Source organism: Homo sapiens, chromosome 11, assembly GCF_000001405.40.
Source record: "Homo sapiens chromosome 11, GRCh38.p14 Primary Assembly".
NCBI lineage: Eukaryota > Metazoa > Chordata > Mammalia > Primates > Hominidae > Homo > Homo sapiens.
The window spans coordinates 129,608,921-129,622,415 of NC_000011.10; the positions used below are offsets into that span (position 1 = coordinate 129,608,921).

Sequence of the window (13,495 nt, forward strand, 5' to 3'; positions counted from 1 at the left end):
AAGTAAGCCTCGTTCCCCAAGGCCTGATGAGTGAGCTTGTAAAGGGCTCGCTGAAATGCCTTGCAGAACCACTCACTGTTCCAGCAAGATGCTTTAAAACCAGGCTCAGAACTAATCCAAAAAGAAGGAGTCTTGATCCAAGTTCACAATGCATGTGAATAAGTCACCCAGCATCTGCCAGCAGGGTTTAGTTCCACGTAAACTGGGAATCAACAACATTCTGTTGGGTGTGCAGCCCATTAGTAAAGGGCCACTAGTTCTCAAAGACTCTGGGATTGAGATCCTCAGCCTCCACAACAGGGCCGCTTCACGCGCCTCTTGCTTTTCTCACCAAAGCATCTCAGAGTGTTTTCCCAGGACGGACGATTTATCCCATTCGGTAGATGAGGCCCAGAGAAGCTAAGTTCTGCCTGCAACCACCCAAGTCAGCTCCTGGGGTCAGAATTGAGACCTAGACCTGCCAGCCCTGTTGTGGCCATTGGATGGCATCCTCTGAGGGACTCTAGAGGACAGCAGAGGCCACGGGGCAAGCCTTCTTGCATGGAAACTGGTGGGCAAAAGGGATGGGCAGGTGTAGGGGTGGAGCACTGAGAACCTCTCAGCACAGCAGAAAGAACAACTCAAGCACATGTCCTACCTGAGGTGTGCCAATGCTATTTTCTTGATAAATAAAGGACATCGTGCTGAGAGTAGTTGTATAACCATAAAAGGTTGAACTGGAAGGGGCCCTGGGAGAGCATCGATCCAACTTCTTTTGTTTCTTGGTGAGGAAATGGAGATCCAGAAGGTCTGTTTCAGTTGCTCAAGGTTGCACAGTTGATTTATGCTGGTGCCAGCTTTGGAAGGCTTGTATCTTCAGCACAGATCCTGTGCTCTTTGCAAATGCCAGTCGTTCTCACACTAATTCTGTTTTTTGACATCGCCTTGAAACCAGGTGAATCTCCCCCTCTAAAACTTTAGGTAGCTCCTCCTCTCTGCTCTTCTGACCTCTGAACTGAAACCACAGAAAGACATCACAGTTAAAGTGTGGGTGGGCCCTGATCGGCATTGGAATTGAAGATTTAAAACCTCTCGAATCTTCTGCTTATTTGGTCTTGGAGCCAAAACTAACACAGCCTGAAAAGAAATGCTGGGAAACCTCCGAGACACTCTTGGAGAGGCAGCTTCTGGGAGCTGGTGAGCCTGGTTTCACTGACAAGGTCAGGCCCACTCTGGGGCATGTGTGTGAGGGAAACATGTTTGGAGCCGTGCTCTCAGCCTACTTGCCTGGGCCTTCCATTCCACTAAGTGACGATCATGGCTCTCGGCAGGTCGGCAGCTGCCAGTGGGAGGCTCTCCCATCACTCACTCACCCACCAGGTGTTCTTCCCAGCCACCACAGCAGCTTGGCAGGGAGTGCCACCGCCAGGGTGCTGATGGGCAAGGCGGTGCAGTGCTTGCCCCTCTGCCGTCCAGGTGTCAACAGATGGGATATGGATCTGCCCTCCCTTAACAAATAAATAGAACTTTTACAGGCTGAGTAATCCCACATGGGATAAACCAGACTGCCAGTTACCCCAGGTTTTCCAGCCAGGATCAAGCCTCTTTAGTCCTGGATCCCAGAGCCCATCAGAATTCTTACGGAGTGGTATTTCCAGACCGCTCGTTATCCACCGGGTAGCCGTGAGGCTGCATGTCCCTCACACTGGAGTTGCAGGGAGCCAAGTATTCCTGGAGTTCCCTTTGGCAAATGTCCTACCTCAGTTCCCACAATCTATGTTCATGGTTCTGTGCAGATGCAATCAGTTCCTCCCAGTCAGCCCCAGGAAAGAGTGAAACTGCTGATGAGACAACTTAAGGAAGGGGCACTCTCTCTTGCAGGGAAAGACATCCACCCCAAACTTTTTCATTCTTCTCCTAGCTGCTTTCTGACCTCAGTGAAACGGGCAGGGAGAAAAACTCTTTTCATCTTTCTGCTGATTGGCTTCCAATGCCAGGCCTCCAGTGAAGCAGGTAGTCTGGCTGGGTCCTGACAAGTGAAAAGGGGATGCTGGCAAGGTGGACAGAGAGCAGGCTGGAAGTTGAGTCCTGGAGTTCCACAGCCACCTAGGATAAAGCTCACAGTGTTAACGTAGTAAGAGCACCAGGCTAGGAACCAAAAGTCCCGGGGTTTGAGATGCTTGCTTAGGTGTCGCTTAACTTTCTTGAACCTCAGTTTCTTCAGCCGTAAAATGGGGATAGTAATACCTTCCCTGCTCACTCCACCTAATTATGAGTTAGAATAAATGAAAGCTTTTGGAAAGCCAGTGAGTACTCCCCAGAAACAGGTTTTCACTTTGCCCTTGTTCCTTGGTTTTGGTTTTTGTTTTTTGCTGTTGTTGTTTGTTTTGGAGACAGAATCTCGCTCTGTCACCCAGGCTGACTGCAACCTCCGCTTCCAGGTTCAAGTAATTCTCATGCCTCAGCCTCCCGAGTAGCTGGGACTACAAGCACGCACCACCATGCCCAGCTAATTTTTTGTATTTTAGTAGAGACGGGGTTTCACCATGTGCCCAGGCTGGCTGGTCTTAAACTCCCTTAGCTCAGGCAATCTGCCCACCTCAGCCTCCCAAAGTGCTAGACTTACAGGTGTGAGCCACCGCACCTGGCCCACTTTGCCCTCGTGAGCAGTCACGATGTTCCCGCCTACTGGCTGGTTTAGCCACCTTGGACCATTGCTGAGTGAGGGGTGGGCTCCCCTATGAAAGAGGGCAATGTAGGTCAGCCCCTGGGGTTATCATTTGTTCCCCTCCTTTCTGTAAATTGTCTACAGGCACTGCTCAAAGAAGAAAGGGACACCATCCCTAGTTTCAAGGCGCGACTTGTCCTGCCCCTGATGGCTGTGGCTGATCCACGAGGAAGTAAACTTGGACTGGGAAAACACAAACTGTCTCGGCCTGCAACATACATCCCATTGATAAATGTATTGATAAACCCTAACATCGATAAGACATCTGTCTGGACCTTTCAGGTCTGAACAGACAGGGCAGCTGCTGAGAACCTGGGGAAACTGACAATCCGATTCCTCTCTGTGTCTGAACCTTCCCTCTTCTCACTGCACCACCAGTGCAGGCCTCTTTGACTCACACAAGACCGTTTTTTTAGCACAAGGTCACCTCGAGGTCAACCGTCAACCCCAATGCTACAGAAACTCACCTCTGACTGCGAACCTCCAGGTTTTTTTTTAATCTACCAAGCAATGAATTGGCACTTTTCACTGAGGAATGACTACTGGGCCCTTTAGAGCTGTTTTAAGCTCCGTGACTTAATGAGTCTCCTGTTTAATGGAAGCAAAAGCCGTTTAAGTGGTCACAGCTGCCAGGAACTTTGCTAAAAGAATGAAACTTTCTGAGCAGGTTGGGCAGTAGCAGCGCTAATCTCTGAGCCTGCCACCCCTTGCCCGCCCTTATCTCAGGCTTGTTTTGACAGCACCGGGAGCTGGTCCCACGAGAAGAGCAGCAACCTCGCTCCTTTCCCTTTTCATGTCTTCTGCTGCACCCATGGTTTGCTGCAGGGGGGAAAGAAGAAACAATGAAGCATTGTCTTATTGGGGACCGGTGTGTCAGGGCCTCATGGAATAAATATTATTTGCCTGGGAGGGGAACTGGCTGGAAGACAGCTCACAGTGTCAGGTGTGGGCTGGGGCGGAGGGGTGGGAGGGCGGTGATGTTTGGGTTTGGTTTTATTATTAGTTTAATCTTTTTCTCTCTACTGCTGTGGATTTGTTTCCCCCCTGACAGGCCATTAAGCATGAAGCTTGTGTCTTACCCGGCCTCTGCCAGGAAGAAACAAAAGAGATTTTCCAAAGGATGTGCCCTTGTGTCACTGGGGCTCCTCAGTCAATCCCTGTCCAGCTGTGCACGGCAAAGGGTGCACACTGCAGGACCTCACAGGGTGAAAGCTCCTCTGGGAGCCCTCCGTCTGCATCTGCAGCCCTGGCAGCCCCAGATGTCTTACCTGATGGGTTCGCGGCTCTGTCATTTTGTCCCTCAGGCAAATACTGAAAGGACAGCAGGCTCCTTTGTAGGTCTGGGGAAACTGGGCACCCCCCACCCTGGTATGCCGGTCAGTCAGCACTTATTGAGTTCTTTTTTTTATTTTTTATTTTTATTATATTTTAAGTTCTAGGGTACATGTGCACAATGTTACTGTATGCAGGTCACTAATAGCTCTAGCCTGCACAGTTCCTTCACCTCTTTTGCCTCAGGAAAGCCACACATCTCTCCAGAATAAAGAACTAAAGACCAGTGACTAAGAGACAGACACTTGAAGGATTGCTCCATAAAGGCTGAGCCCTCCTTATCTCAGAAGAATGAGAACATTTTCTTGTAAGGAAAACAAGAGCCCTGTAGCCTTTCCACAGCCACAGAGCAGTGGAGTAGGGAAAGGGCGCCTCCACTGTGCAATCAAGGGTCTTCTTTCTGGCCAGGCACGGTCTCTCACACCTGTAATCCCAACACTTTGGGAAGCCAAAGCAGGAGGATCACTTGAACCCAGGAGTTCGAGACCAGCCTGGGCAACATGGTGAGGCCCTGACTCTACAGAAAAATTAAAAAATTACTCAGGGATGGTAGCATGCACCTGTGGTCCCAGCTACTCAGGAGGCTGAGGTGGGAGGATTGCTTGAGCCCAGGAGGTAGAGGCTGCAGGTGAACCATGTTCTCTCCACTGTATTCCAGCCTGGGCAACAGAATGAGACTCTACCCCCCCACCCCCTAAAAAAGTGTTTAACCATAAACCTTTCCCTCATCCCTAAATCCATTTTGGGTACAAGCCATCTACCCAATGGCTGTAATAATAGTTATTGATGATTGAGAATGTACAGTATATGTTGAGCACTTGCTAAGTGCTTTCCGTATATTATCTCACCATGTGGCAAGCCTGGAGAAAGCTTGCAGAGAGTGAGGAACTGCCCAAAGTCACACAGGTCATCAGGCTTCCTGAGAATGGCACCACGGCCTCGGCTTTACAGGCATGGCACTTGAGTTCACCTTCACGTGCTGGGGATCCTGTGTTCCCAGAAGGCAGAGACCCTATCTGTGTCCTTCTGTTAATTATTTTTGTGTACAAAATAATTCAGTCCTGTGCTCAGTGCCATGAACTATTAGGGATTTAATACATGCTTTTTGAGGGTGATAATGATCTCACCATCCCAGTTAGTGAAATAAACATTCCCTCCCTTCTCTCAAAGAGAAACAAAGGGCCACAGCAGGCCAAGCCACCCCAGGCACACTGCAGGGTGTGTGGAGATGGCACCAGCAGGTGAGTCCCACAGACCTGGCTTTGGATCCCAGCCTGGTCACCCACGGCCTGGCCCCTGGGGTGCACCAGCTAACCTCTCCAAGGCCAAGTTTCCCCAAACACGGGAGAAAGTCACAGCACCTACCTCGTAGGGTCATTGTGAAAATGAAGTGAGAAAATGCCCACGGTGTTCCCAGCAGCCCTGCCTGGTGGAAGGCAGGTGTTCCATGTCAGTTTCCTTACTCAGCACCCAGGCATCTTCTTCCTCTCGTGGAGCTCTCAGCACTCAAGAGCCCCTTCAGTAAGACCTGGAATGCAGTTTGTTGACCAAAGGAGTGCTGGCAGGGAGGATCTCCACTTGGGTGGCCGTATCTCCTACCTCTGCTCTTGGTCCCCCTTTGCCTTGGGGACATTCCCACCAACACACGCCACTGGCAGCGCACCCTGCTGACCAGCATGCACTGCTGTTCTTACTTACCCCAAAAGCCCAGACTTGAATACCCTGTTGTCCTCAGTGGCGCGGCTGAGACCAGGCTGGAGCTTTTCAACAAGATGTAACTCAAGTGGGGAATAACATGCAAGTAACCCTTAAGGTGACTGCCGCACCCTGTGGCCCACACAGAGAGGCTCTCTGCCCAGCCCCACTTGTCTGCAAAGGATATCCTCCAGCCTGTCTAGAGTCCACAAGGTCCAGGCTGGAGAGAAAGAGGCCAAGGAGCCAGATGTCTCTCTCTCACCCACGACCTACTTTCTGAGATCTTACTTCCATACTGAAGACAGGCCTCCTTCCCAGGGGATACCAGAAGTCAGAGTTCCTTTCAGTGGGTCTTGCCTTATTATATTCAGTAATGTGGCCCAGCAAATAAATATGTCAATTCAACAATAAACCCTGTGTCTATACATGCAACGCTCCCTGGAACAGCAGGGAAAGGGAAGAGGAGGGGAATTTGATTACAAGTGCTTTATATTTACGCTGTCTCATGAGATGCTTCCAACAGGCCTATCAGATATTTTAGAACCATCATTCCTAATTTGCAGATAACAAAATTTTGGCTTGGAGAGGTTAAGGGAATGACCAAGCTAAGCCCAGTTCTCCTGTCTCCCTCCCTTGAGTTCAGGATACCAACCCAATCACTGAATCTTCCCCAGGAACGAGCCTGGGGCCAGGGTGAGAAAGGGGCTTCCCGGAAGTGCTGAGTTAAATCGGCACTGGATGCAGCCACGGACAAGGGGACATGGTGGTTGTCCCTCTCTCTGCCAAGTTGTAGGTCAGGAGACCTGGTTCAAGCCCAGGCTTTGCCACTTGGAAGACTGTATGGTCTGAAATCATTCTTCTCAGTGCCTCAGTTTCTGCATCTGTGAAACGGTGAGGAACAAACCAATTAATACACATAAAGCCCTTAGTGCCCTTGATGCCTAGAACATGTAAGTATTTAATAAATATCAACATTTTTATTAACATTGTTATTGTTACTGTTATTCCCTTCCAAAGTCTTGCAAGAAGTAAATGGGATGACAGATGTGAAAACACATTATAAGCTATAGAGGTAAGAAATGACCACTCATGTATGCTGAGAAGGTAACAGGAAAAAGGGCTTGGCCTTAGATAATGTCATTGAACAGCCTCAAACTTTCAACAGAAAGCACAGAAATATTCCAAAAAGAGTACTCCAATAATTTGAAACCAGGCCACCGAGTCCAAGTTCTTGCCACAGTTCCAGGGCCGAGGCTGTTTCCCAAGAGCCCTGTAATTGCTTTCAACCTGTGCCTCACCCAAACACCACGGCTGGCGCAGGTGGACACCTTCCGTCTCTTCTCCTTCCAGGCTGGGCCCCAGAAAGAAATACTCCAATAATTCACCTTGTGGTTTTCAACTTTAGACCAGATTGTTTGTTATGTATATAACTGTTTGCATTTCACTTACTTATCCTCAATCGTCACATACCTGGGAGGGAAGGAGGCTGCACAGAGCCCCCGGAGCCCCAGCCCCACGTGGTTACACCTGCCCACGCTTCTGGTCTAAGTAGTCCTTGGGTGCCTTAGTGTGAACGGAGCATACAATTAAGCTCTGTCTCTCTTTCTCAGCTAACTCAGGTGCAATCCTTCTTGACAGTCTGGAGGAACCAGGCAGGCTGGCCACCAAGTGAGGGGAAGTTGCTGCTAGCTCATTAATGGTTGAAAGCCCAATAGTACCACCCCTCACTGTCTTGTAGCAAAGACCCTTGGCTCATGTTTAGAATGTTAGCCAAATAGGAGTCACCGAGTGCAACTTTATGGCAGCACTCAGCTGGAAACAGTGGGGCATCTAGGGGAAGTGTCCGTGCTCGGTCCCTGCCCTTACACGGATCAGTCTGGCTGATGGAATGAGACGAATGAAATGGAAACAATGAGCAAATCATAAAAGGCAGTACTGTCATGAAGAGTTTGATTTTATGGCACAGAATGCAATTGTTAGAGTTAGAGTAGGGAGAGATGGCCAAGAGCTAGAGTGGGCAGGGAAGGTTCCTGTGGGAAGAGGTTAGCTGGGCCTTTCAGGTATGCAGGAGTTGAACTGGTGGGAGGGAGAGTGGCATTCCAAGTTGGGGAAGCTATGTGAGAGAATCTAGGAGACAGAAAAGAACAAGGGCTGTTTATAGAGCAGAGGCCAAACTGGCATGACTAGAGTAGAAGGAGGGCATCCTAATTCCCAGCCTTATCCACCGCTTTGCAAGAACCAGGAAAATGAATTCCTGTTGGCCATAAAACTAGTTGCAGGTGATGTAACCCATCCTATTCGGCCTCCCATATTTACAGCTATACAGGAACAACTCTCTGAAACTCAGTCTCCTCACCCGTAAAATGGGATGGTAATACGTGCCCCTGGGAGCCAGCGAGAATTAAAAGGGATAAGATGCACTGGCTCCCAGGGGCAAGCACTAGCAGACAAGGAATAGGGCAGTCCTCCCTTCACACTCCACAGAGAAGAAATGTCCTCCAACTCTCCCAGGAGGCAGAGCCCAGCTCTCCTTCCAAACAGCCTTGGAGTTGCTTGGCCTCTCCACTTCTTCAACGAAGTTGTGGGCAGAAGACAAATGCAGAGTTCTCTTGTACCTGACAAGGAGAGAGAAGCAGACCCTGTGTGAGTCTCTTGCTGTTGACGTTGATCCACAGGGGGTGCAGGATGGGACTGAGGCAGGCCCACCTGCCTGGAAAGCCTGCCTGTACCCTGACCCCATGGGGCCCTAACACACACCCTCCCAGCCACAGGGGCTCTGCAGAGCTAAGCCAGCTGTCCTATGGAGGTGGGGACCCTCCTCCTGCCCTGCCACTCTCTCTTTCTCCTGGAGAGGACAGGCAGGTGGGCATGGCCACAGGAGAACTTCTCGAAGGTGCTAACTGGCCCAGAGAAAGAAAGGTGGCCTGGTAGGGAGTTGTCTACCAGAGATTGAGAGAGCATGGGAGAAGTTGAGAGGGAGGAGGAAAGTGCACGCCATCCTGCGCGCAGCCTCGCCTTAGGGAAAGCATGTGTGAGAAGTGGTGGTAGGCGGTTGCTAGCCTTGGAAACAAACAAACAGCCAACCAAAAGGCTTCGGAAGGAAGGAGTGTCTAATTAATCAGCCCCGAGGGACAGGTCCGCACTGCCTGACTGTGCTCCTCAGCCTGGTTTCAGGCCACCGAGTCCAAGTTTCTGCCACAGTTCCAGGGCCGAGGCTGTTTCCAAAGAGCCCTGTAATTGTTTTCCACCTGTGTCTCACCCAAACACCAAGGCTGGCGCAGGTGGACACCTTCCCACTTTTCTCCCTCCAGGCTGGGCCCCAGAAATCAGTAGAGGAGGGAGGAATCAGTCAGCGTGGCCATGCCTGGGAGGAGAGGCCCGTGTGGGTCTGTGGGGCTAAGAGGCAAAGGCGGGTGGCGGATGTGGGCCAGCGGGAGCCTGGAGGGGTTGACACCGCCTGCTCCACCGCAAGCCCCTGGAGGAAGAGCCCCGCTGTGCCCGAGAGCGAGCGCGGGCAGGTGTAACTACCCGGGGCTGGGGCTCCGGGGGCTCCGCGCAGCCTCCTTCCCTCCCAGGGACACCGCCCAGCTGCGCCCCGCGCCCCGCCGACTGCGCGGGCCTTGAGACGCTGGTGGCTGCCTCGGGGTTGGCCTGCTCCTCGCGCACATGTTCAGGGTCATCCGCGCTGCGCCTCTGCTTCAGGTGCTTGGCTAGAGAAAGGGCGGCAAGACGGGGCAGTGCGTGTGCGCGCGCGGGCAAGTGCATGTGAGTGCACACTTATGTGAGCGCATGTGTGTCTGCGCTTGTGCGTGTCCAGGGGAACCACAGGGAGCACCCTCATTCTAAGCCTCCAGAGGACTGCCTGAAGCCGCTAGATAGAAACTCCCCTAGAATGTAAGCTCCGGGGGGGAGGGAGCTTTGTTTGATGGCTGCTGTATTCCCAGTGCCCATTGAAGTACTGGGGACACATTAGATGCTTAATAAACAGCTGTTGAGTTAATCAACGGACTCTAGGAATGGAGGCAGACCGGCCCTTCTGGAACTGGAGAAAGGACAAGGCCACATTTCACCGTCTCCTCTGTTCTTGGTACCAGCCCTGGCGTCCCCGGCAACGCCAATCCTTCTCACATCCAGCTTGTGCCAAGTTTTCCTCCCTGCTCGTGTTTACACCTTCTCCCCTTTGTCTCTGTTTCCTGCTGGCCCCTGTGTGTAAGCACCCCAGCAGTCAGAGTGAGAGGAAGACGAAAGAAGCAGAATTCTGGAAATAGAGAGCTACCAGGGTGGCCTCTTCCTTCTGGAAGGACACGGAAAGATGGGGTGAGACTGGCGCTCTTCTTCAGCTCCTCCCTTTGGGAATTGGGACTTTGAGCTTCAGTTTCCTCACTTTGAAATAGCAGCTATTCCACCTGCCTCGCAGGATTGTTGCAAGAAGTCAGGCAGGAGGCTGAAAAGTTCTGGAGCACATGATAGGTGCTACAGAAACGTTCGTTTCGTCTCCTGACTAGCATCCAACAGTCTGGGAGTGCCCCAGGTGTGGCTGAGGGTGGTTATGGTTTGATAACCACCACCAGAACACCCCTCCTTTTTTCACAAAATGCCTTGAGGAGAATTTAATGGCTGTCGAAAATTAAGGCAAGCTTCATTTCTAAAACATTCAGGAGTCAATATGTTGTGAGTCATGTATTCCGTCGGGGCCTCCACTCACTCCGGAGGGAGCTTTTCCAAGTAATTAAACAACGATGTCGTGATCAAGCTGAAGTCCACCAGCCCCAGCCTTTCCATTCGGGACCTTCTCCTGCACATGCTGCAGCTGCCTCCAAGACTACTGCGATGGAGATGAGCAGATTCTTCCTTCAGTTGTAGAGGGAGACACTGCGAAAACCTAATGCTGTCAATAACGCTTTTCATCTCGAAAGGAAGGATCCGATTTCACTCTTTTCAGCCTGATTTAAGGACCCACCAGAAAAAAACAAACTTCATGGGGTAATTAGGAAATTATCCTCTTACAAATTGGTAGATGTCGTCTTTTTTTCCTTGGGACAAGACAGAAAGGACATTGTTTGTCTTTTACCATGGTGAAGCTGCTGCGATTAACCATGCCACCTGGGGAATGGTTCACTTGTGGGTAAGCTGATAGCCTGCTGTTCCAGGGTGCGCCTGCCAAGGTACTCCAGAATAACATGTTACATCCTCTGTGCACCCCTTCCCGATGAAAGGAAAACTTCAATCACATTTAGTTAAAGGAGCCCTTTAAACCTGGCCTGTCAATATCCTGGAGGTGGAGAATTACACCAAGGTTAAGAAAAGGTTTCCCAGAACTGGCTAGACATGTATTTGTTTAAAGGGATTAGGTGCATTCAGTCTGGGCCTGATCAATACTGCCTGTTTTGGGGTTTGTGGAAAACAGTGCAAATATCCAGAGAGAGCCTAGGAAGTCCCTAAAGACCCAAGGAAGGATTTTTTTTTTCTATTTGATAACAAGGAGAAATCCCTACTGTACAGTTTCCAAATCCTGACCTGTTTTAACTTAGGAATCTTGTGAAAAGTTATTGTAAATATAGACCAAAAGGCCAATGCTAAAATTGGAATTAACATCAACCTCCGCCTTTCACTCTGACATATTCTGTCTCACTCCTTTCTTACCTCTCCTGCTCTCTGTCTTACTCTGTCTCTCTGTGTCTCTCTGTGTGTCTCTCTCATACACACACAAAGCAACAACCCAACAGGCTTGACAAACCTTAGATTCATTAAGAGTCTTCTGAAGTTTTCAATATGCTAAAAGATGTACCGTAAGAATATATGTGTGTATGCGCATATATGTTAGCATTTCTGTTTAGCACTTGGTATACTCCAAAAGCTCTTACACACATTTTCTCACTGTGGCAGGTGTTATTATCCACAATTTTACCAAAGAGTAGACTGAGACTGAGACTCGGGGAGGTGAAGTGACTTGGGTAACAGTGTGCCGTCAGGGTACGGTACAGCCAGGAGTGAATCTGCCCTCCCAGCACATTAGAAATGACCATCATCTCATGCAGCTCTGCATGAAAAGACTCCCATAGTTAAATTACCACTCTATAGTAAAGCCCTGATTGCAGTTTCATCTGCGTCCCCTTCCAGAAGTATTTGCAATTCATTATCCAAATGAGAAAAGCTGTTAGTAAAAATTTCAGGTACCAGTAACAGGCTAAATAAACAAACATTAGGGTTTAAGATGAGTCAGGGACTCTTGAGTTGCGAAAGTTGGCAGGAGTTTTGTTTCTAGGAGCCTCTACAAGCCTCCTGGATGCCACTCTGCCTTCAGCCTCTCCCCTTCCAATCTGCTCTATGCGGTGCGGACTACTTGCCTCAACAGACCCAGACATACGAGCATCAGAAGGGAGGACTCCCTAGCGCAGTGGCTCCCTGAGTGTGGTCCCAGGACTGGCAGAAGCAGCATCACCTGGGAGCTTAATAGAGATGCCAATCCTCAGGCCCTGCCCCAGTGCTGCTAAATCAGAAACTATGGGAGAGGGGCCCAGCGATCTGTGTTTTAACAAGCCTTCCTGGTAATGCTGGTACACACTAAAGTGTGAGTACCACTGACTATTGCCTACAAGAGAGTGCCCAGACACCTCCCAGACCTCCCTAACTGAACCTAACAGGTTCCTCTCCTCTAACCACACTCACCTAACACTCACTGTTCTCTGAACATTTCTTTTTCATGTATCTTTGATGCCCTGTTCCTGTCATTTTGAATGGCATTTCCTTCTTCCCTGCCTGACAAACTTGTATTTATCATTTAAAGCCCAATTCAAAGATCTCTCCCTCTCGAGACTTCACGTGTTTTCTCTCTGCTGAGTTTTAGTTACTCCTTCCGTACCTCCCCTGATGGCACCCGTGCATACCTCAATAGCATCACCACATCGCGTTCTTTGGCATGAGACTCATGGTGGACTGGAATCTCAAGGTAGCCCCCGTACGTAGTGTTGTGCCAGGAATGTAGTAGATATTTAATAAATCCAGACTGATTAAATGAATAAGTGAATGCATGAGCTCAAGTACAGTCATTCTTTGGTGTCCCTAGAGGATTCATCTTAGCACCTTCCCAGGATACCAAAATCCACAGATGCCCAAGTCCCTGATATAAAATGGCACAGTATTTGCATATAACCTATGCACTTCCTCCATATACTTTACATCATCTCTAGGTTACTTATAATACCCAATACAGTGTAATGCTATATGAATCATTATACCTTATTGTTGAGGGAAAAATGGCAAGAAAAAAGAGTCTGTACATGTTCGGTACAGATGCAACTTTTTCAACATTTTCCATCTGAGGTGGGTTGAATTCATGGATGTGGACCCCACGGAGAGCTGTATTCTATCAGGCCTCATTGAGTACTCAAAATAGGCAACTGGCCTGTGAGCACATGGCTGGTTACTTCAGAGCCTGATCTGACCTCCAGGCATCCTGACTCCTAGCCAGGGTAGTCTGTGAAGTTTTGTTTGTTTCACCTGGGCGCCATGTCTTTAGGTTATGTAACTGTTAGACAGGAGTCATTTTTGGCTACTTTGTGACAGATAAATATATCAAATGCTCAAAACAGGTACAGTTCTTCCCTTGCAGCTGTGGAGCTGTGACTGTTGAGGCCACAGCCTGTATTGGTTATCTTCGCATCTCTCTGTGTTTGTAGTTGTAAATGGCAGCGACCTATCGCAGTGGTATCTAGACCAACTATTAAACCATTTATAATGCCCAGAAACCAATTTGTAGCA

At 49.6% G+C, this 13,495-nt stretch overlaps 1 long non-coding RNA gene across 1 annotated transcript; it reads right to left on the reverse strand.

The window, feature by feature from the left end:
* Window positions 1–3,195: 3,195 nt before the first annotated feature.
* Window positions 3,196–8,349, reverse strand: LINC01395 (long intergenic non-protein coding RNA 1395). Its single transcript, NR_120582.1, has 4 exons — window positions 8,091–8,349; window positions 6,387–6,615; window positions 5,405–5,567; window positions 3,196–3,526 (listed from the first exon to the last, which is right to left on the reverse strand). It is a non-coding gene; the product is annotated as a long intergenic non-protein coding RNA 1395 (long non-coding RNA).
* Between the last annotated feature and the right edge of the window lie 5,146 nt (window positions 8,350–13,495).